The sequence below is a fragment of the Homo sapiens genome, chromosome 20 (assembly GCF_000001405.40).
Source record: "Homo sapiens chromosome 20, GRCh38.p14 Primary Assembly".
Lineage (NCBI taxonomy): Eukaryota > Metazoa > Chordata > Mammalia > Primates > Hominidae > Homo > Homo sapiens.
Window position 1 is genome coordinate 25,021,848 of NC_000020.11, and position 22,705 is coordinate 25,044,552.

At 50.0% G+C, this 22,705-nt stretch overlaps 1 protein-coding gene across 7 annotated transcripts in view, besides 3 other annotated features; it reads right to left on the reverse strand.

Annotated features, from left to right (window-relative positions):
* The window catches only part of ACSS1 (acyl-CoA synthetase short chain family member 1), a 51,903-nt gene that overhangs the window by 15,611 nt on the left and 13,587 nt on the right, over window positions 1-22,705 (reverse strand). For 4 of the 7 annotated variants that reach the window (NM_001252675.2, NM_001252677.2, NM_032501.4 and 1 more), the window contains exons 3-5: window positions 8,912-9,111; window positions 1,619-1,794; window positions 1,093-1,245 (exon numbers count right to left, since the gene is read on the reverse strand). In NM_001252675.2, coding sequence (NP_001239604.1) covers window positions 1,093-1,245; window positions 1,619-1,794; window positions 8,912-9,111 — 529 coding nt within the window. Of the gene's footprint in view, window positions 1-1,092; window positions 1,246-1,618; window positions 1,795-8,911; window positions 9,112-10,521; window positions 10,860-22,705 lie in introns of those variants that run through there. The other 3 variants (NM_001252676.2, XM_047440557.1, XM_006723659.2) reach the window with 3 other exon arrangements.
* Window positions 14,546-14,840: a silencer, noted in NCBI's record as "tiled region #14776; HepG2 Repressive non-DNase unmatched - State 7:EnhWF". NCBI's record gives its function as "represses a minimal TATA promoter and a strong SV40 promoter by Sharpr-MPRA in HepG2 cells {active_cell/tissue: HepG2}" and the evidence as "EXISTENCE:reporter gene assay evidence [ECO:0000049][PMID:27701403]".
* Window positions 21,179-21,238: a silencer, noted in NCBI's record as "silent region_12738". NCBI's record gives its function as "represses an Ori minimal core promoter by ATAC-STARR-seq in GM12878 lymphoblastoid cells {active_cell/tissue: GM12878}" and the evidence as "EXISTENCE:reporter gene assay evidence [ECO:0000049][PMID:35858748]".
* Window positions 21,389-21,538: an enhancer, noted in NCBI's record as "active region_17658". NCBI's record gives its function as "activates an Ori minimal core promoter by ATAC-STARR-seq in GM12878 lymphoblastoid cells {active_cell/tissue: GM12878}" and the evidence as "EXISTENCE:reporter gene assay evidence [ECO:0000049][PMID:35858748]".

Genomic DNA, 22,705 nt, shown 5'->3' on the forward strand with positions numbered 1-22,705 from the left:
ACAGACATCCGAATCCCCTTTATTCTTCCACAGCAACTGAGTGGAGCCTGATCCCATCTCAGGATCTAACTGCCCACGTGCAGGAAACACAGAGGCAGAGGGACAACAGGCACAACCCAGACCAAAGGACACCAGAGAAAAATGGCTGGATGTGACTATGGCCAAGTGTAAGGAAATGGGGGAGCATAGGCTTAAAAAGACTTAAAACACATATCAACAATATTTTAGGCCGGACACGGTGGCTCACACCTGTAATTCCAGCACTTGGAGAGGCCAAGGCGGGCAGATCACTTGAGGTCAGAAGTTCAAGACCAGCCTGACCAACATGGCAAAACCCTGTCTCTACTAAAAATACAAAAAAAAATTAGCAGGGTGTGGTGGCAGGTGCCTGTAATCCCAGCTACTCAGAAAGCTGAGACAGGAGAGTCACTTGAACCCAGGAGGCAAAGGTTGCAGTGATCTGAGATCACACCACTGCACTCTAACCTGGACAACAGAGTGAGACTCCATGAAAAAACAAAACAAAACAAAACAAAACAAAACAAAAGAAAAAACAATATTTTAATTGGCAACAGTAAGCTACAGTGCCCACGGATGCTCATATGGGTCACAAAACTATCAAAATAAAAACAGGGCAGGCGCACAAGACACATCAAGACATGCTGGACGGGGCTGTGGCCATATGGGCCTGGAAGGGGCTTCTGAGAAACCGGTGGCCTTCCACTTCTTGATCAAAGTGGCATTTGCCTTATAATAATTCATTAAGCCATGCATTTAATTTGGGTGGTTTTCTCTATCTGTTCTAAAAAGAGTTTTTAAAAATCTTTGGGCGAATGGCCCTTAGTGTCCTGCTGCCGCGTTACATGATCAGATTATCTGGGAGTTTCCAGACAGTGCAGTGGGGGCTTGAGGCAGCCAGGGCCCTGAGGAGCTGTAGGGTGGGAGGACTCGAGGGGGCCCTGCCCCGAATAGGCCAGGAAGAAACACTGACCTCTCACACCTACAGGCCTCGCTCTGCAGCAGGAGGACTTCCAGCCCTGCCCCTGCCTGGATCCCTGCCAAGGGCCCAGCACCGCCCGCACAGGCCTGTACCTTGTGAGTCAGGGCGGCATAGAGCAGGTAGCCTGCCTGGGTATGGACGATGCCCTTGGGCATTCCGGTGCTCCCTGAGGTGTACAGCATGAAGAGCATGTCCTCACTGCCCATGCTCTCTGGGGCGCAAACAGGGTCCTCCTTGGCCATTTCCTGGCAGGGAGAAGAAACAAACAGCCCACCGAGGGCACTCAGCCTCTCTGAGAGCAGCACTCCCCCTCCGCAGCAGGACTCCACACACAGGATTCAGAATTCACCTGCTCTGACCTGTCCAAGTTCAATTCCAAATGTGGAAAGGACACAAAACAAAAGCGTGGGTGCAAGCATTTGTGTTACAGTAAGTGTTCCAACATGCTTGTCGTATAGGAGTTTTATCTTCCCAGTCAGGACTCAAGCTCACCAAATACCACAGAGGAACCCTGGGCACCTCTAGGGAACCCAAATTGAGAACCACAACCCGAGAAGCCTCAGAGCCAGCTAACTTGATATGACCTCGCCTCAAACTGTGCAAAGCGAGGTAACCCACCTGCTCCAGCGGGACGTCCAGATCCCCCATGTGGACCTTGTTGTCTGTCCTGTGAGCCACCAGGACATGCTGCACGGTGGGGCAGTGCTTCACAGCCTCATCCACTATTTTCTTCAGCTCCACCACGCGCCCACCCCGGAGTCCTTGGTTGAAGGTGATAACCACCTTGCACTTGGCTAACAGAGACAACACAGACATTTCTGATCAGTCTCCTCCCGACTTTAACCCTCATAGCTCTGACTCACATAGGACATCCAGGCCTAGGAGTGTGAGAAACTCAGTCCAATCTTGAGTAAAAGACTCAATGGAAAAAGTGAGGGGCTGCCTGCTCTCCAGCCTTTGTGTGCCATGAAGAAGCACCAGGCCTTTGTCCAGTTCTGAGGCTGAGGGGAAGGAACCAGAGATAAATTACTTTGAAGCTCAGCTCTTCCTCCTTGAGTCAGCAGCATAAAGACAATTTCCCAACCAGACTTCCACCTTTCTCTCCTGTCTGCCCAGGAGCAAACCCCAGGAAAGAGGCCATCATGCCACCTGCAGCAATCAAGGTGACAGAGAAATACCGAGAGGCAGAGAACAAGAAAGCTGGACAACCAGAGGCCAAGCCCAAAGGTGTCCCATGTGGCCAGGCCCTGTCTAGAGTGACTTGTGTGGGCCAAGAGCCTTCACTGTCCAGAGATCAGAAACCACACCCCAGTGGATGACTGGGAGCTGCCTGCCCACCTTACCTTCAGGAGAAGGCCCTCCTGATCCCACACCTGCTCTTCAATGACCAATGTTGCTCAGCCAGGCCCAGGGGGAAGCCAGGAGGACCCTAGCTTCCATGGCTAACCTAGGGGTAGGCCCAGAGCAGAGAAGAGGGGTGCACGCACAGTGGGCCTCAAGACCCCAGGAAAAGGAGGTGTCCTCCACGCTGTGCCCCAGTGCGGGATGACCCAGAGGGATCACAGCTGCGGGGGGTTACTACACAGCCCCTCAGGAAGAGCCTGGGACAAATGCCCAGCTGTGACCCTGACTGGCAGGGCCTCACCCACATCCCTTGGGCCTTTCAGTCATTCTGCACCAAAGGCCTCTTGCAGAGCTATGGGCAGAAGTGCTGGGGAACCCTCGACCAATGGCTCTCCATAATTGGGGTACAAATCCTGCAACTCCCTACCCTTTGCATGGAGCCATTTGAGGCATGTGTGCCACATTCCCGTCCAGAGCCACCACTGCCCTACCACACTTCCAAGACAGACTCTGGCCTCAATGTCCCCTCTGGGAGAGTCCTACCTAAATAAATCTGAAAGCACTTTTGCACAACAGGCCCACCCTTTCTCCTCCTAAGAGCCCTGGAGATGTCATGGCCATGAGGGTTCCCTGAGAATTTTCCAGCACACACAGCACCATCCGGGGGTCAGAGAGATACCCTAGACCTGCCCAGATGCAGCCACCCCTGCATCTGGCACCAAGAGCCGTGGCTACACACACTCTTTGGCCTTCAAGCCTCAGCGATAGCTCACCTGGGGAAACCAAGTCAGTTGGGTGGAGCCTATCAGAGACTTTCCAGACCTACATCCCCAAGCAGGGGTTGGTCCAGGTAAGCCCCCTATGGGCGAGGAAGGGAGATGGACCAGCAGGAAGGAATGAACCTTTCTCAAGGGGACGGGAGACAAAGAAAGCTCATGGGGGTCAGAAGCTCTCACGATACAATGACCCCAGCCCATGCAACATGCTGAAATCACACTACACAGCAGGCAGTTCCTTCCCCACCTCCCAAGGCGCACACCTCACTCCTGACTCGCACCTGTCCAGGGCCTCCCTGCCCAGTAGGCTCTCCAGGAGGTCCTCTAGGAAGTACCCAGGAGCTTCTGAGCACCATGAGCATGTCTGGCCCACTGGCGCCCTCCAAGGCTGGGCCACAGCATGGGTGCTGGCAGGAACCACATGCCACTCTGGGAGGATTCAATTTTCTCTCCCTGGTTTTGAGCAGGTACCAGCATCTGCGTTCATTTTCTGCTGCTTCCATAACAAATGACCACAAACTTAGTGGCTCAGAACACTCATTTTTAGCTCAGAGTTCTGTCGTCTGGACAGGCTTGGTGGGGTTCTCTGTTAGAGTCTCACAAGGCCAAAGTCAAGGACAGGGCTGGCTCCTATGTGGTGGCTCTGGGGGAGTATCCACCTCCAGGCCATTTCAGTGGTTGGCAGAACTCAGTTCCACGCGACTGAGGGATTAAGGTCGCCTTTTCCTTGCTGACTGTCAGCCAGGGGTCATTCTCAGCGACTACAGCCACCACCTGCCCTGGTTCGTGGCCCTGTTTATCTTCAAAGCCAGCAACGGCGGGTAAAGTTGCTTTGAATCTCTCTGACCTCCCCTTCTGCTTCACTTCCTCTGCCTCTAGTTGGAGCAAGTTCTGTGCATTAAGGATGTGGGATTAGATGGAGCCCACCTGGATATCCTATTGCCTTATTCATATGTGCAAAGTCTTTCACCATGCAAGTGACATAGCACAGCTTCTGGGGGATTACAGTGTGGCCATCTGAGTGGGTCATTATTCTACCCCCACAGTCTCTCTCAAAGCCATTCTCCTGACCTCTACCCTCCCCTGCAACACTCTCCACTCCTCAAGCAGCCTAAAGCAAGAGGGAAGACAAATGAAGAGGGATGGTCCAACCCTGGAAGCCAGGCCAGGGGACTGAACTCTGGAACTGCACCTGCTGACTAAGGTGGCTGCCCAGACATGTGAGAGCCTAGCGGTCAGACTCACAATATACACCCACCTCCCAGTGGCCAACTGAAGATGGCTGCACATTCTTTCACCTGCTCTTATAGAGAAGCAGGATCCAGGTCTCCTCCCCTTGAATCTAGAATGGCCACGGACTGGTTCGGCCAATCTAGTAAGGCAAGAGTGATGCCAGGCCTGTGCCAGCCTGGACTGTAGGACACTGGCAGTTGCTATTTCCTTCCTCTTGGAGCCATGTGCTGCCATGTGACAAGCCTGACTGCTAAGGCTGCAAGGCTATGAGGAAGCCCAAGTCAGCCATGTGAAGAGGCCACGTGGAGAGAAAGACAGGCCCACCAGTCCCCAACCCTTCAAGTCAACCTGACTAATGTCCCAGATGTCATGGAGCAGAAAACAGCCATTCCCCTGTCCCCATCTGATTCCTGTCCCACAGACCCATGAAATAGAATACTAAAATTTATTGTTTTCAGTTTTATTAAACACTAAGTTTTGGAGTAGTTTGTGACACAGCAATAGAAAACCAAAACAGCCCCTCATTGACCCAACAGGACACAGATACCCATCTCAACAGAATCTTGTCCCCAGGAACCTGGTACCTGCAGAGCTGCACAAAAAGGCTGAAGGATATCAGGGCAGAGTCCTCTTCAGGACAGAGTCATGGCCCCTGCCCTCCCATGCTTGGTTGTTTAGGAATTCTGAGGTTCTGGGAGCTGCCCCAGCATCCAGCTACTAAATCCCCACATGATGAAGTCACCAAGAGTCAACTGCTATTGCTTGTTTCAAACAATCTCAACAGAAGCACTGGGTGACCATGGCCACACCAGCAAGAGAGAAAAGGGGCAGCTTAGCATAATGCTGAAAGCATCAACTATGGCAGCAGAATGTCTGTGTTCAACTCCTGGCTCTGTCACTTACTAGGTATGTGACCTTAGGTAAGTCACTTAAACTCTCTGTGTCTCAGTTTACCCATCTTCTTCCCTTTCTAAAGACCAGAACCAGATGACTTCACTGGTGAATTCTATGAAATATTTAAAGAATTAGCACCAATCCTTCTCAAACTCTTCCAAAAAATTGAAGAGGAGATACTTTCAAATTCATTTTATGAGGCCAGCATTACCCTGATACTAAAGCCAGACAAAGATTACTATAGAAAAGAAAACTACAGACAAATATCTCATATAAACAATGATACAAAACTCTTCCACAAAATGCTAGCAAACTGTATCCAGCAGCATATTAACAGAATATACTATGACCAATCAGGACTTACCCTAGGAAAGGAAGGGTGGTTCAACATGCAACAATTAATCACTGTAATACATCACACTACTACAATGAAGGAAAAAACACATCTCAATTGACGCAGAGCAAGCATTTGACAAAATCCAACACCCTTTGATGATCAAACACTTAAAACTAGGAATAGAAGGGAACTTAATGGATAAAGAGCATCTGAAAACCCACAGCTAACATCATATTAATGGTAAAAGACTGAAGCCTTCCCCCTAAGATCAGGAACAAAACAAGGATGCCCACTTTTCACCACTGCAATTCAACATTGTAAACAAAGTTGTTGCCAGAGTGATCAGGCAAAAAAAAAAAAAAAAAAGAAATAAAAGACATCCAAATTGGAAAAGAAGAAGTAAAACTATATTCAGAGATGATATGATCTACTATGTATAAATCCTAATGAATCCACAAAAAAACTATTTATTAGAGCTAATAAATCATTAAATTTGCAATATACAAGATCACTATGCAAAAATTGCTGTATCTCTACATATTAGCAATGAACAATCTGTAAAGGAAATTAGGAAAACAATTCCATTTATAAAAATTCATAAAAGAATAAGATACTTAGGAATAAATTTAGCCTAGGATATGCAAGACTTGTACACTGAATACCACAAAATATTGTTGAAAGAAATTTTAAAATACTTAAATAAATGGAAAGATATCCCATGTTTGTGGATTAATATTGTCAATATGGCAATACCTTCCAATTTTTCTACAGATTGAATGCAATCAAAATCCCAACATCTTTTTTTGCAGAAATGGAAAAGCTAATCCTAAAATTCCTATGAAAATACAAGAAAGCAAGAAGAGCCAAAACAATCTTGAAAAAAGAAGAACAAAGTTGGGAGACTCACGCTTCCTGGTTTTAAAACTTACAAAGCTACAGTGTCAAAACAGTTTGATACTGAGATAATAATAGATACATAGGTAATCATATGGATAAATGGAATAGGATAGAGAGCCCAGAAATAATCCCTCACATATATGGTCAAATTATTTTCAACAAGAGTACCAAGTCCATTTAACAGGGAAAAGAACAGCCTCTTTAGCAAATGGCGCTGGGACCACTGGATAGCCATAGGACAAAGAATGAAACTGGACCCTTACCTCACACCCTGTACAAAAATCAACTCAAAATTAAAGATCTAAATGTAAAAAGGTAAAACTTAAATTCTTTGAAGAAAACATACGAACAGGGAGGCCGAGGCGGGCGGATCACGAGGTCAAGAGATCGAGACCATCCTGGTCAACATGGTGAAATCCTGTTTCTACTAAAACTACAAAAATTAGCTCGATGCAGTGGCACGTGCCTGTAATCCCAGCTACTCGGGAGGCTGAGGTAGGAGAATCACTTGAACCCAGGAGGCGGAGGTTGCAGTGAGCTGAGATCATGCCCCTGCACTCCAGCCTGGCAACAGAGCGAGAATCCATCTCAAAAAGAAAAAAAAAAGAAAACATAGGAAAAAATCTTCACAGCATTAGATTTGGCAATGTTTTCTCAAATAATACAGCAAAGACACAAGCAACAAAATAAAAAATAGATAAATTAGACTCCATTAAAATTTAAAACTTTTATACACCAAAGTTTACTACTGAGAAAGTGAAAAGACCACCCACAGAATGGGAGAATATTTGCAAATCATATATCTGATAGAGGTCTAATATTCAGAATATATAAGTAACTTACATACTCAACAACAAAAAGACAAGCAAGCAATTAAAATATGGGCAAACAGCTTAAGTAGACTTTGTCCAGTGAAAACATACAAATGGCCAACAAGTACATAAAAGATGTTCAATATTATTAGTCATTAGGGAAATGCAAATCAAAACCACAATGAGATACAACTTCATTCTTACTATGACGGCTGTAATTTTTTAAAGTGAAAAACAACAAGATGCAGAGAAACTGGAGCCTGCATACACTATTAGTGGAAATGTAAAATGGTGCATCTCCTTAGCAAAACAGTTTTACAGTTCTTTGATAAGTTAAACATGGAATTACCACATGAGTCAGCAAGCCCACTCATAGGTATATACCCCCAAAATTAAAAACAGGTGTTCCTATACATGAACATTCATAACAGCTCTATTCACAATAGCCAAAAAATGGAAACAACCCAAATGGCCATCAATGAATGCATATTATTCACCTATTAAAAATATGAAATACCGATACATGCCACAACATGGATGAATGGAGAATGTCTGCTTAATGGGTGTAAAGTGTACATTTTGAGTGATGAAAAACTTCAGGTACTAGATACTGATGATGACTGCATAACACTGTGAATGTACTTAATGTGACTGAATTGTACACTTTAAGATGGTTACAACAGTAATTTTAGGGGAGGGGAATAATAATAGTATTATTGCATAAAATACTTATGAAGAGTAAGGTAAATTAAAGGACATAACCTTTGTAGAGTGCTTAGAACAGTGCCTGGTACACAGTTGGTATTACAGAGTTCTAGAGAGAGGAAGAAAAAGAGAAAGAGGTAGCAGCATCACCCTTGAACGTGGGGGAAGAAACTCTGAAAGGAAGCGGAAGGGCTTCCCAGCCTTTTATACAGAGGGAGGTCAACAGGAGTCTGAGAACTCTACCCATTAGTTCTATTTTCTATGAGGCACAAGAATTCTCAATGGCACCTAGAACCTGGCACCTGCCTTGCGAAGCCAGCTCAGGGACTCCCTCTAGGAGACAGCAGGGTGCAGAGATCAGACTGCATGGACATAGGGCCACCATCCAGACACTCAGTCCTTTGACAACAGCAAAACAAGGAAGTTATTGTTCTGCACAATGTCCAAAACACACTGACCCACATGCAGACAGAAAGACCCCCTTCACCTGACTCCAGATCCCCAAATATGGTCCACACCTTCACTCCTCAGGATAGAAGCCTTCCAGTTGTTGACCTGTGGAACCTTCCCTGTGCATCTCCAGCCTTATCCCACCTCCACACTTCCCTCCTGCCGCACTACACCCACCTGCACTAGGCCCTCATGCTGTGCTCCTCCTCCACTTGGCCTGTGCCTCTGCTGTTCCCTCCAACTGGAACTGTCCCTTTTTCACCTGGCTAAATCCAATGCACTCAGATCTCAGCCCACAGAACAAATTCTCATTCGGCCATGTGCCTGTCCCTAGTACGATCTGTCATTTGTCTGTGTGACATTAATGTCTGCACTCTGATGGTCTCTACACTGATGGCCAGGCCCCCAGGAACAAGGATCAGGGAACTCCAGGGTTCCTCCCTCCCCATGCCCACCTCCTCACCATCATTGATCCTCCCAGCCAAGGACTCTGCACTGAAGCCAGCAAAGATGACTGTGTGGACAGCTCCGATCCTGGCACAGGCCAGCATTGCTGCCACAGCCAATGGGGACACGGGCATGTAGATGGCAACACGGTCCCCACGGTGGACTCCATGCCTCTTCAGCGTGTTGGCCAGGCGGCACGTGGTCTCCAGTAGTTCCCTGCAGCACAGGGAAGAGAAAGCCATCAGAGATGGAGGAGGGCCAAAATGCAGAGCAGTTTGGGGGTGGAGCAATACTGCAAATTTTATGTCATATACATCCAGCCCAGTGCCAGGAAAACAGGCACTTGAATACTTAATGCATGGAAAGTACTTTTCCAGAAAAAGAAAAGTTTTTAACATTTGTAGATTGCTATTGGCAGAGATTCACTGCCACATTGCTAGGGTGACAAGGCTATCCTTAAGTCCGCTTACGGCAGGGTTTTTTTAGGGGAACAGGAGCGTAGGGGAGCCATGGTGACACCATTTTAGAATCAATTCCATCTTAAAACTAGCAAGGCACATTCCTTGCCAGTCATGACCCACAGTCATAAGATGTTTACAGCTGACGAAGTAGCTTAATACCTGCAAAGACAAACTCTTGCAACAACAGAATGTCCAGATGCCCCAATATTGCATAATATATGCTTTTAAGATGATTATAGGCATGCTTTGATGTACTTATGCACTAAAATGCCAAGGATAGCTTTCTTTCAATCAACAAAGTAATAAATGTCACTTCGTCAGCCTACCCGCAGGGAGACATAGCTTAGCTTTTACATAGATAAGACCCCTATATAAGAAAGAAACAAAACAGAGGCATTCCTCCTCTTGCTGAGGATGCCCTACTATGTAACTGAGAAGCTTTCAATAAACTATCTCTTTTCACTGCGCTCTGCCACTCGCCTTGGATTCCTTCCCGGCATGATCCAAGAACCCTCTCCTGGGATCCGGATGGGGACCCCTTTTTCCAGCAGCAGCTTCTCAGGGACCACAAGTGTCTGAGGCATAGATCATCATGGTTCCAAAACTTCCGAAAATGTTTGCCTCCAAAAGAAAGACTGATCTCATAAGACATTTAGTCGAGAAACAACAGGTCCCAGATTTCTGAATCAACACAGTCGAGGGGCACCAAATAATGCTCTCAGGGAGCAGACCCCCAAGCCCAGATAGGGCGGACTCCAGCTCTGCAAAGCCACAGTGAGTTGGGAGTGAAGACCGCAAGCAGGGCAGCCACAACTCCCTGCAGCCCCGAGACAGCACTGGCGGGTAGAGCAAGCACCCTGCTTTCTCCCCAAGCTAGGGGACCATGGACAAGGGGAAGGGAAAGCACTGGGCACAAGGTGGGTGAGCAGCACCCCCGCCCAGCCCCCATGTCGTCCACCACGTTGCCTATGTCTATGGTGTGCGCATGCCCTTCCTCTCTGGCCACTCTGGGGCCTATCACCAGGTTCACCCACCACTCAGGGCGCATCATCTCTCTGGGCAAGCTGATTGGCTCAGGGCCGACACGTGACCCAACCTGGTCCAGTCAGAGTCAACCATACTCAACTCCGGGAAAACTGGGAGCAGGCGAGAGCCGCCAACTTGCCGGCCATGCGGTGCGAAGTGGAGGAAGTGGAAGCGATCCCAAGGTTGTCTTTCCTTTCGGCGCCTCATCCCTCTGAATCTGGACCTGGCAATTGCATTAACCACTTTCCCACTCTTGCTGTACTGACTTTAATTAATTATTTGCAATAAAAAGAGCTAACACAGAACGAAGAATGAGGGGAAGCCAAGGCCCTTTCTCTCTGGGCGGGGCAGACCACCAGCCCGCGACCCCTGCCCTCTGCAGGGGCCCAGAAAGCAGACCCTCCTCGGGCTCTCAAGGCCGCTCGCAGCGTGTTTGCATAGCTCTCCTCTGTTCAAAGGGTAGTCAAGGAAAGGGCTCCCGAGAACAGTGAAGCTCAACGAGGCCACCCGGGAAACCACAGCAGAATGAAAATGAGCTGTCCGCATCACAGGCAGGGGCCTCAAGGAGGCCTTTGTTTCTTCCCAAGGCCATCTGCAGAGGGGACCACATGAGAACCAGATCGCAAGGCCAGCCCGCAGTTCTCCCCGCAGCCAGCACGCCTGCCCAGCCTGGCTCCAGCGGCCTCTTCTGTGGGATTTCATCGTTTTCCCTTCAGGCTTTCAGAAGGAGGACAAAGGCGCCTTTCAGTGGCGCCCCACCCACGCACCCCTTGCCAAGGTTTATGATAAAAGACGGAACACTCCCCCGGAAAACCCCCAGCACCAAGCTCTACAGAATCTAGGGCTCAGAAACACTCCTGCTACTCCGGGGAGGAGGCTGGGGTGGCCTGTGACCGGCTGAAGAGGGAGCCGTGGTCCAGAGTCACTCAACATCTTCAGCCAGATTCCGTTTTCATAGCTCTGAGAGCTTAAGCCTCGCTGCTACCAGAGATGAAGGCTTGAATTATGCTCACCAGTTAAATGGCGATGAAATTTAGTCCCTGTTCTGCAGACGGAGGGCAGCAATCTGAAGCCAAGAAAGGACACTGGACTGTCCCTACAGAAAGGCCTGGGGTAGCTTTCTGTAGTAGCTGCCTAGACATGGGAGCTTATCTTTCTGAGCTGCCATGTGACCATCTGAGAAACAGCAAGCACCCTCCACCTTGTACAGCTGTCACAAGTATTAATAAAAAGCAAGACTGACTTGGAACTCTGCCAAACATTCAGTAGCTATCGTCTTTCCCATCAGATGGAAATTCTCAGAAATCTTTGTTTGAAATCGTTTTCTAAAATGACAAAAACCAGCTAACTCACTTCAGTGAATTCCTGAGATGTTAAAAATCCCATTCTAGGCACCTTGGGAGTGAGTGGGGTGTTTGCATTTGAGAAAGGAATTGACAGGGAGAGTGTCCTCCAGGAGCACAGCTCCGATGAGGAAATGACGGCACATGTGAAGGTGTGCAGGGCACTGAGCAGCTCAACTTGGTGGTACAGCCACTGGGGGTGGCAGGGAAGGGCAGCAGGGAGAGCTTTCTGGATAGATTGGCTGTTGGGAGGAGGACTGGGGCAGAAAGAAGAGTGGATTTTCCCTATAGGGGCAGAAGTCACCCAGTCATTGAAGCTGGACAGCTAAACGACAGCCTCCAGGGAGGGTCTAGAGACCAGGTTTCCCTGGAAGACTGAGGGGCCTCAACATGGGCCCAAGAGCTGAAGCAGGGTCTGGTGAGTCTCACACTCTTGCTGCTGAGTCCAGAGGAGGGGCTCCTGATGAAGGATTTGATCCGGTAAATCTCAGAGCTCTCTCCCTTCCTATTTTCTCTGCCAAGGTCATAAACCTTGAAGTGGAAAGGATCCTTGGACGTCAGGCGGTGCAGCCTCCTTGAGGTTCTGAAATCTGGCAGCCACATTCTGGCCTACAGCAGTCCAGCCTCTACTTAATCATCACACTGCCAGAGCTCACCTCATGGGGCCACATCTCTGTCACTTTAATAGGGAAACAGTCTACCAAAAATTGGACCAAGATTTGCAGCTCTTCAAACTCCACCCCTTAGTCCTACCTCAGACCTTTAAAGCTTCCCAGAATAAATCTAATTTCTCAATGACAGCCCTTCAAATTCCTGAATACTCCTTGCCCCTCATCCTCTTGGAAGCTTTTCCTCCCCAGGTTCTCTGGTCGAGCCCTCCATGACGGCACTCGATCTCAGTAGACACCCCCAGACTTCCAAATGGACCCCCACATTCTCATGGTGCCTGCCCAGAGCTGAATGTGGGTACCCAGACCCTTGACCTCAATTCTATATTTAACCTTTTTTTTTTTGAGGTGGAGTTTCGCTCTTGTTGCCCAGGCTGGAGTGCAATGGCACGATCTCAGCTCACTGCAACCTCCACCTCCCAGGTTCAAACAATTCTCCCACCTCAGCCTCCCGAGTAGTTGGGATTACAGGCATGCACCACCATGCCCAGCTAATTTTGTATTTTTAGTAGAGACGGGGTTTCTCCATGTTGGTCAGGCTGGTCTTGAACTCCCGACCTCAGGAGATCCACCCACCTCGGCCTCCCAAAGTGCTGGGATTACAGGCATGAGCTATCACCACGCCAGGCCGACCATATGGATTTTTTGTTTTTTGTTTTTTGTTTTTTTTGAGATGGAGTCTCGCTCTGTTGCCGAGGCTGGAGTGCAGTGGCGCGATCTCCACCCACTGCAAGCTCCGCCCCCTGGGTTCATGCCATTCTCCTGCCTCAGCCCAGCCGGAGTAGCTGGGACTACAGGTGCCCGCCACCACGCCTGGCTAATTTTTTTGTATTTTTAGTAGAGACGGGGTTTCACAGTGTTCACCAGGATGATCTCAATCTCCTGACCTCATGATCCACCTGCCTTGGCCTCCCGAAGTGCTGGGATTACAGGTGTGAGCCACCGCACCCGGCCGACCATATGCATTTTTAAAATACCTGACAGGTGGCTCAAATTCAACATGAGGTCACTAACCTGCACCCTCCCAACTCCTAATACATGTAACAGATGCCCTTTAACTAGGGCTTGCTCCTATTATGGCCATGGAAATGTTTTGTGTTTTTTTAAAGCAGGCTTTCCATTTATCCCAATCTAATTCTATCTCAATTTCTCCCCATCTTTCCAGGTGACTTTTTTTTTTTTTGAGATAGAGTCTCACTCTGTCACCCAGACTGGAGTGCAGGGGTGCCATCTCCGCTCACTGCAACCTCCACCTCCCAGGTTCAAGGGATTCTCCTGCCTCAGCCTCCTGAGTAGCTGGGACTACAGGCGTGCACCACCACACCCAGCTAATTTTTGTATTTTAGTAGAGACAGGTTTCACCATGTTGGCCAGGCTGGTCCTGAACTCCTGACCTCAAGTGATCCACTGGCCTTGGCCTCCCAAAGTGCTGGAATTACAGGCATGAACCACCACACCCAGCCAATTTTTGAAGCCTGGATTTTTAAGTTTAAACTCTCATTTTTCATTAGTAATATCCTCCAGACATATATTATTGGAAAATATGGTCAGCAAACCTAGGTCTTCAAATCATTGAAAAATAAATGTTGTTCAAGTAAGTGATCCTGCCATTCCAAGTACTCAGGAACCATTTGAAAGCATGTTTTTGGATATTCATAATTTCTCAGACTTCCACAAACCGAAATGTTACTGTTTCTGTATCAGAAAGATAATGCAGCCACTCAGTGACTGGTGCCTTGGGCTACAGTTGCAGGAAACAGTGGCTTCCTCACTACCTGCAGGATCCTCTTATGTAGCACCCTAGTGGGTTTCCAAAGCACGGGGACATGCAGCTTTCTGAGTCACTAAAATGAGTTAGAGTTTTACTTTTAAGTCCAAGAAGAAATATAACACTTGTTGTTCAGGTACTGAGCAGGATATTTAGGTTTGTCTGCAGTGTACTCTGCCGGGTCAAGCTTTTGGTGCAGACGTATGCAAATGATGTGCACAAAAATACAAATGTGGCCTTGTGTTCCTGGTGCTTAACACTAGGAAAACGCTGACTGGCCTTGGGGAAGGAAGAAGACTTATTACCAACTCTTAACATCAATTGGGAATAACTTTTATCCAATGCTAAAGATACAATCTGACTGCAAGTAATTGTGACCAACACGATAACTGCCTGAACTCAGACGGTACAACTGCACCCCTGCCCCCCACCCCCCGCCTCAGAATTTAAAATTAGTCCAAAACAGGAAACAGCTGGAAACAGAGTTCAGAGAAAAGAGAGGAAGAAATACACTGGTATTTATTTTTTCATCTGTCTTTCAATCAGAGCTAGTTTTGTCACGGTTAATATTGAAAGTGTCTTTTCCTCCTAGACATTTCCTGATGAAGGCCCAGGATAAGTAAGTCCTGTGTGTGCTCTCGTGTTTAAGAAATAAACAAATTAAGGCTGGGCATAGTGGCTCACAGCTGTAATCCCAGCATTTTGGGAGGCTGAGGCAGGCAGATCACTTGAGGTCAGGAGTTTAAGACCAGCCTGGCCAACCATAGCAAAACCCTGTGTCTACTAAAAATACAGAAATTAGCCAGGCGTGGTGCTGCATGTCTGAATCCCAGCTACTTGGGAGGCTAAGGCAGGAGAATCGCTTGAACCCAGGAGGTGGAGATTGCAGTGAACTGAGATCCCATCACTGCACTGCAGCCTGGGTGACAGAGCTAGACTCTGTCAAAAAAAAAAAAAGAAGAAGAAGAAAGAAAGAAAAAGAAAGAAAGAAGAAAGAAAGGAAGGAAGGAAGGAAGGAAGGAAAGAAAGAAAGAGGGAAAGAAAGAAATTGAGAATGCATGATTGTTTATTGCTTACAATTATTCTGGCAGTCAGTATTCATGAAATAAACATTAGCTAACAGACTTCTTTGTTGTCCATCAAGTACAAGGTCTGCTTGGGTAGAGATCTGGGTTTTGCTTATTGCCTTCCTCCTGGCATCCACCTAGCTCATATAAGGTACTCAATAAATATTTGTTGAGCAAATGGGCGCAGCAGGTGAGCATGAAGTGGGAAGGACCTCCACCAAGAGCGACACCCACCCTGCAGACACCCTGTGTCCTCCTTCCCCTGAGGGGCTAGGCTGCTGTCACCTTGCATCACGCTGGCATGAAGATGTGCTGCTGCTCTGAGAAGCAAATGGGAAGGACCCCCTCTGAGAAACCAGCCTACAGAAACGTTTCATTTTCTTCTGCCAATAAGGGAAGTAAACCCAGGTAATTGTCTTGATATGTGAAGGCCTCTGACAGACACAAAGCATTTCCTCAGGCTCAGTCACTTCTCTCCAAGCACCGGTGCTGATGGGGGCTGGGGAAGGCCAACTCCATGGTCTAGATCCAAAACTTGAAAGGACATTCCTATGCTGTCTCTAGAATTTGATATTTTCTTCAGCATGCTGTGTCAGGAACATATTCGTAGTAAGAGAAGAAAGGATCAGCCTTAGGGAAGGGAAGCCTGGCGAGGCTGACCCCTTCTCACGCAGGAGGAGCGTGGAAGGCCACGCAAAGCATGGATGGCCAGCTCGCATCTCATGGACCCAGGCCTGGGGAACAGACTCCTTCCCTCCTGGCAGCCTCCTCTGGCCCTGACATTACTGTAGCCACTGACTGTCATTCAATGGTGGTAAGATTTGCTCACTCTGCTGAGAGAACAGAAGACCAGGAAGTCAGCTAGCAGGGCTCATAAACCAAGTATGAAATTTCTCACGTCATTATTTGATGTCATGACCATGACATTTAGCAAAGAGAAGCTGCCGTGAAAACATAAAGTGGCAGCCGCACTTGAACATGAATGGTCCCCTGGGCCAAGGCGGGCCCAGGCACAGCGAGGGCCCCCAGGAGACATGAGCTGAGTTGCTAGTAGTGATGCCAGCTCAGCCAGTAACAAGATCACTAAAGCTATGTGTGTTCTAAATTCCTTATGGAAAGTGAAAGTCTCTTCCCTGAGGTTTTGCTAGACTCTGTGGAAAGCGCTGAACCTGCAAGTTTATCACTCAGGAGTCTCACGGGAGGCCAAACAATGACTGATCAGAGAGCAGGGTTCCCAACACAGCCCCCCACACCACTGGGGCCTGAACTGTCTCATCTGTGAAATGGCCTAATAATAGGACCCACTACCAAGGTGGTCGTGGAGACCAAATATGAAGTTGCAGGCACCTTTGAAGGTGACCTGTAAACAGTGGCCATAATGACTGCAGAAAATACAAGACATGGGAAAAAGAGAATTATTGAACACTGATGGACCTTTAAGAAAGGTGGGCACCTCAGGCACCTCCTTCTCAGGAGGGCAGGTGCAAAATGCTGGTTTGCCTTATGGAAGCTGCAGTCTCCGTGTCGCCGGCTCAGGGCACATGCACCTCAGCTGTGTGAATGCCTTGCAGGAAGCCCTCACCTGCACAGCCTGCCTGCTCCATGCCCCCAAGGCAGGTGCTGAGGGCGGGAGTAGATCTGAGAAGGATGCAGAGCCTCCTACAGTTGGGGTTGCTGCCAGTCTGGGGGTTCCAGGCACTCAGCCCGAGGCCTGTGCTTCCAAAAGGCCAGAGGGAAGGCAGTTCCACCCCACATGCTCTGCACAGCCTACCACCATCTGCCATGTCGTCCTGTCACTGCCCCCCTGCTGGCTACCCAAGCTTCTCCAGCCATGATTGCCTGCCACTGCCAGCACAGGAAACCTCCTCTCCAGGCCCATGGCCTCCTACCTCCTCTGCATCCAGGGGGTATTCCCTCCCCTGCCCCTCCTCCCACTTGTCCTCACCCCACCCTCAGTTCACAGCCCCATCCCATGGAACAAGGACAGAACAGCTATCAAGCAAGTATCCTGTACCCAGGGCTGCTCCCACAGAGCAGGTTCCCATGGAGAACCCACTTAACCCTCACAACAGCCCATAGGTTCTGAGCTCCCCTTCCCTTCTTCACTTTCCTGATGAGGAAATTGAGGCATAGAGAAGTTGGGCCACTTTCTCAAGGCTATTCAGCTGAAGGAGTCAGGGCAGGATTCAAACCCAGGCCCAGCTCCAGGGGCCTTGCTGTCAGCCAGCTCCTCAGTATCAGAACCACTCCTATTGCAAAGGCTCCCAAACTTCAAAAGATTTGCCATCTGCCAATGCTATAATTATTCATGTAACATTTTTCTTGAGTTAGTTCACTTTTTTAATATAAATTTATTCTAAGAATGAACCTGAGGCTGATTCTCATTCAAAAGGGAAAGTTAGCAAGAGAAGTGCCCAAAGTCCCCACACGCATGGGGGTTCAATTGAGCCTTTCTTCTTGTCCCCAGAATGGAGGACAGGGCCGAGGGTGGGTGTGGAATGGCGTTTTCCTTCATCATTCAGTGTTTGGCTCCTCATTCAGGGCCACCTGCCCAGGGCATGCCTCCCCAGGCACAGGCAGGTCAAATCCCACATCCTTAGTTTTTCTTTTCTCCTCTAACCAGAGCCCAGGATGCAGTCAGCTTCTAAGAAAGCCTTGTAGGACTAAAGTACCAGGCCAGACTCCAGAGAAGCTCTGTCCTCATTCCTGTTAACGCCTGGTTTTCCCTTCGACCTCAGCACTTGGCCTTTGGCCCAAGTCTTGTCTCTGGAAAGGAAGTTCTTTCCCTTCCAGACACAAAGCCCAGCTCACATGACTGCGGGAACCAGGTGTCAATGCCTGAAGAACTCTGGAAGCTCCTGCAGGCTGGCAGCCCAGGACAAGAGCACACTGGGGGACTGGAGTCCTGGAAGCCAGCCCCGAGAACAGCTGGTGCCCTGGCAGAACATTCGCCCCTGGCTGGACAGACTTGTTTACCTCCTGGGAGAAAGCCACAGAAGTGAGTCCTTTCCCTTGTGGAATTTGGAAAGGGGTGTAGGTTTTAACATTCTGTAAACATTCACTTTCCCCTGTGGTTAAAAAAAAAACCACAGGAGATTTTTCAGGTCCCACTCCAAGTTTGCACACCCCACATGCCCTCTGTTCCGTCTCTCTGAATGGCTCTACCAGAGCCCATTCGGCTGCCACAGACACAGCACAACACAGGGCAGCCAACTTCACACAGAACGCTCCAGAGCCTGGACGCAGGTTGGGGGTCCTTCTATTTATCAGGCTTTCCTGGGAGTCCACACAACATTCCAGATTAACACCTGGAGGAGAGTAAGCCCTGGAGGGGAAGTTCACAGACACAGCCACACAGGTGGAAATCCAGAGAGCACAGCCACTTGGCATACCTGCCTCGGGCCCAGCGACTTTCCTTGCCTCTTGGCAGCAGCCTAGAGAAGCATCAAACTCCTCCAAAGAACAGGAGGCTCCTGCTCCCCAGTGCTGTGCTGGATAACAGCCAGTTTCTCTGCAAAAGAAGCCTTGACTTATAACATTTGCCAGTGATCATGGTGCAAATATTTCCACCGCTGATTCTCGGCTCCTGATAGGACTGACTGCACAAGGAAGATATGCACACACAACTGCTCCACGGAGCCCGTTTGACACTAGCCCCAGCCTGGGAGCCTGCAGCCCCAATACCCAAACCACCCAGCCCCAGGGGCAGCCTCCTCCTCTATCTTTGCAGCCACACCCCAGAAGCTGCCCAGATGCCCCACCCCAGGCCACCCTTAAAGTTCACTTGAACTAATTTTCCCCTTTATAAAACAATAATTGTTAATAATTTATGATTTCATTCCTTTTATTGAATAATTATTCATTTAAGGATAAGTAATTGCTAATAAAAACCTGTTAATTTGTCCGGGCGCAGTGGCTCATGCCTGTAATCCCAGCACTTTGGGAGGCCAAGGCGGGTGGATCACGAAGTCAGGAGATTGAGACCATCCTGGCTAACACGGTGAAACCCCGTCTCTATTAAAAATACAAAAAATTAGCCGGGCGTGGTGGCAGGTGCCTGTAGTCCCAGCTACTCAGGAGGCTGAGGCAGGAGAATGGCGTGAACCCAGGAGGCGGAGCTTTCAGTGAGCCGAGATTGCGCCACTGTACTCCAGCCTGGGTGACAGAGCGAGACTCCGTCTCAAAAAAAAAAAAAAAAAACCTGTTAATTTGGAAGGAAGGTGAGAAGCAAAAGCATGCAGCTTTTTCAGTCCACCCCGTGTGACCTCCAGGCCACACTCCCTCTGACCCTGGGTTTAAGATGGCATGGAGGGTCTGCATAAGCTCACGGCTGGGCTTCCACAGATGGCACCGTACTCCCGGGCATAAGGCCACGGGCTGAGAGCACGCCCACAGACTCTCCATGGCAGCCCTTGTCCCCAGGCCACCGCACGTGGCCTTGCAGCTCATCCCTGTTCAAAGGCACTACCCCAGGGATGCTGGAATCTGCACCAGGCAGAATACCCCTTTGGGAGGGGAGCCCTTCCACAAAAGTGGCCCCATTCACACTGGGAAAACATGCCAGAAACCATACAAAATGTTAGCCTGGAAAACTGTCCCACAATTTAGTTGTGAAGTCCAAAAATCTAATGGGTTTCTAATGTGAAGATAGAAGACTGTTCTTGTTGAAAACGGGCTGGCCTACTGGGAATCCACATGAGATGGGCCACCGTGGGTGGAATAAATACATCAGGGTGAAGACCAGAGCCTGTTAGTTACAGCAGATTTTGAACAGCTGTGGTGGCCAAAGGCCTTTGCACACTGGAGTGACTTTGAGGGTTTGGTCACCTGCATGAGGAGGAAGGACGCCAGACTCCATTCGAGTGGCCTGGGATCCAAGAAGGTACAGGTGGGATCCTCCTGCCCTAACAGTGGGTTGTGGAGCCCAGGTGTCAGCCCAGTCAGGTTCCACAACCCACCCGCTGGCCTAGAATTGCCTGTGGTCGCCCCAGAGAATTCTCAGAAAGGTCCTGTCCCCAACAAAGAGGTCTCTGTGGACATAAACTCCCTCAGTGTGGGTCACTGTGCTGCAGTCTGAAGATGGGGCCTCTCTAAACTACGACGTGCCAGGACCTCGGCACCCAGGAGAACGCAAGGGAGCACAGGCAGCGTGCGTAGGAAGACCCCAAATATTCCAGTGGCAGCAGCCGCAGCCTGGGGCTGGAGGAAAGGTGGATGCTGCTTCAAAAACAGCCCACCCCGAGTAACATGGGATCCTATCAGATTCTGGCTGTAGCGTGCAGATTCCAGACCAAGGGTCCCAGCCCAAGTCTCAGAGGCTGCCCGGGCACCCTCCTCTCAGGTGGGGCAGCTAGGCCGGGACTCCACGCCTCACCCCACCATGGGAGCCCCACAGACCACACCGAGTTTGCCTTCCACGACAGCCGCTGTGTCACACACGGGTCAACGAGGCTGTTCCCCCACAGCCTCCCGTGAGTTAGGATCCTCCCCCAGCTGCCCTGATGTTTTAATAAGGGAGTGTGCTCACTAGGGTAATTAACTTGGGAGGTGAGCAGAAGAGCAAGGGGCAAGGGTCACCCACTAGGGACATGGGGAGGGGGCACACTTTAGCTGATGTACGTGTCCTCCCAGGCAAAGTCCCGCTGAGTACCGTCACCCCTGAAATCACCACCCACCCACTCTCGGCCCCAGCAGCCATGGGGCCACCCATGTCCTGCCCTTCTTCAAATCTGAAACCCTTTGCTGGCCTTCCTTCACCTGGCCCTGACCTGCAGCTGAAACGGACCCTCATCCTCCAGACACCCCTCTGGTTTTCATCCCACATGCCCCTCTCCACGCCCAGCAGCCCAGTGGAGGAGAAGTGTGACTGCATTTTGCAAATGAGAAAACCAAGGGTGGGAGAGGTGGAGTGACAGGCTCTAGGTCCACAGCCAGGGTCAGGCTGGGCAGAGCACAGCCTCCTGCCTCCACCAGGTCCTGGGCCCTGGCCCCTCCCCCTGCCAGGGACAGGGCAGGCAGGGCACAGCCTCCCGCCTCCACCACTTCCCAGACCCTGGCTCCTCCCCGTGCCATGTCCTCACCAGTCCCCCACTCCTGCCTTCGCCACACTTCCCCTTCCTCTGCCTCTCAAAACTCAACCCTCCACAAAGCCTTCTCCACCTAAGTGTCTGTGACAGGACTTCCTGCTTCCTGCTCCCCCCAAGGGACCAGCCACTTCTGTGACCTCCCTAAATGGCTGTGTTCGAAGACATCCAGGGCTGACAACAGAAACAAGCCTCTCAGAGAGGTGGCCCCAGGCTCAGTCCCCACCCCACCACAGCTGGAGTGTGTGGCAGCTCCCTCTGCCTAGGGTGAACGGCCAGGCCCTGTCATGCACAGCCCTGCAGGCCTCCGCATCAGGTGCCAGGCCTCACAGATTCGCAGTAAAGCCCCATGCCCAGCCCAGCACAGCACACCCAGGGAGAAAACCTCCCTCAGCTTCCTGGGACTCTGAGGTAGGTGGGGTTGGGGGAGGCCTGACATCCCCTCTGCTTCTCTGGTCAGGGGTTTCTCACTGTGCACGACCCCACCCAATAAAAAGGCCAGGAAGGAACAGCCACAGAAATCACCCCCACCAGCAGGAGTTTCCACGGGGGAACAGCTCCCAGAGTGGCACACGATGCCTGTGCTTCCTCACAGACTCGGGGCCCAGCTCTGCTCCTCCGTGCTTCATGCACGCCTGCCAGGGCTGGAATACTGGGGCCATTGAATCCCTCCTTTTACAGATGAGGACACCAAAGCCCAGAGGGATGGGTCCAAGGCCATAGGACAAGCCGGAGCTAAAACTTGGTCCTCTGGCTTAAGATGCTCTCATTTAAGTTCAAGTTTAAGTTCACACCCCCCTACAGAGACCCTCAGAGAAGAGGTTCACTGATTTGGAGGCTCTGCAGGCACCCCCAGCCTGGCACCCACAGTCCACTCTCTCCTCTGTGTGGGGGCATACCCTGCTGGCTGAGAAGATCTGGACCTGCACAGGGCCTCAGGCTGCTTCCTGCACCTGGAGTCCAACCCTAGCCTGGGAATTCCTGGCCCAGACCCCAGGCTCCAGGCTCCAGGCAGGGAGAAACACACCAGCTAGGCAGCAGCCATCTCAAAGCCTCATTCATCTACCTGGGCCACCGCTTTTCCGAAAGAGAGGAACTTGCATTTCTCCACATGGCCACCCCCCAGGGTCTCTAGAACCTGCCCATGTGAACTACAGTGTGAAGGACAGTCTTCTAAAACAGGCACCGGCCAGGCGCGGTGGCTCACACCTGCAATCCCAGTACTTGGGAGGCCAAGGTGGGCAGTCACTCCAACCCAGGAGTTCCAGACCAACCTGGGCAGCATAGCGAGACTCCATCTCTACAAAAAATAAAAAGCTTAGGCTTGGTGGCACACACCAAGCTATTGGGAGGCTGAGGCAGGAGAATCACTTGAGCCCGGGAGGTCAAGGCTA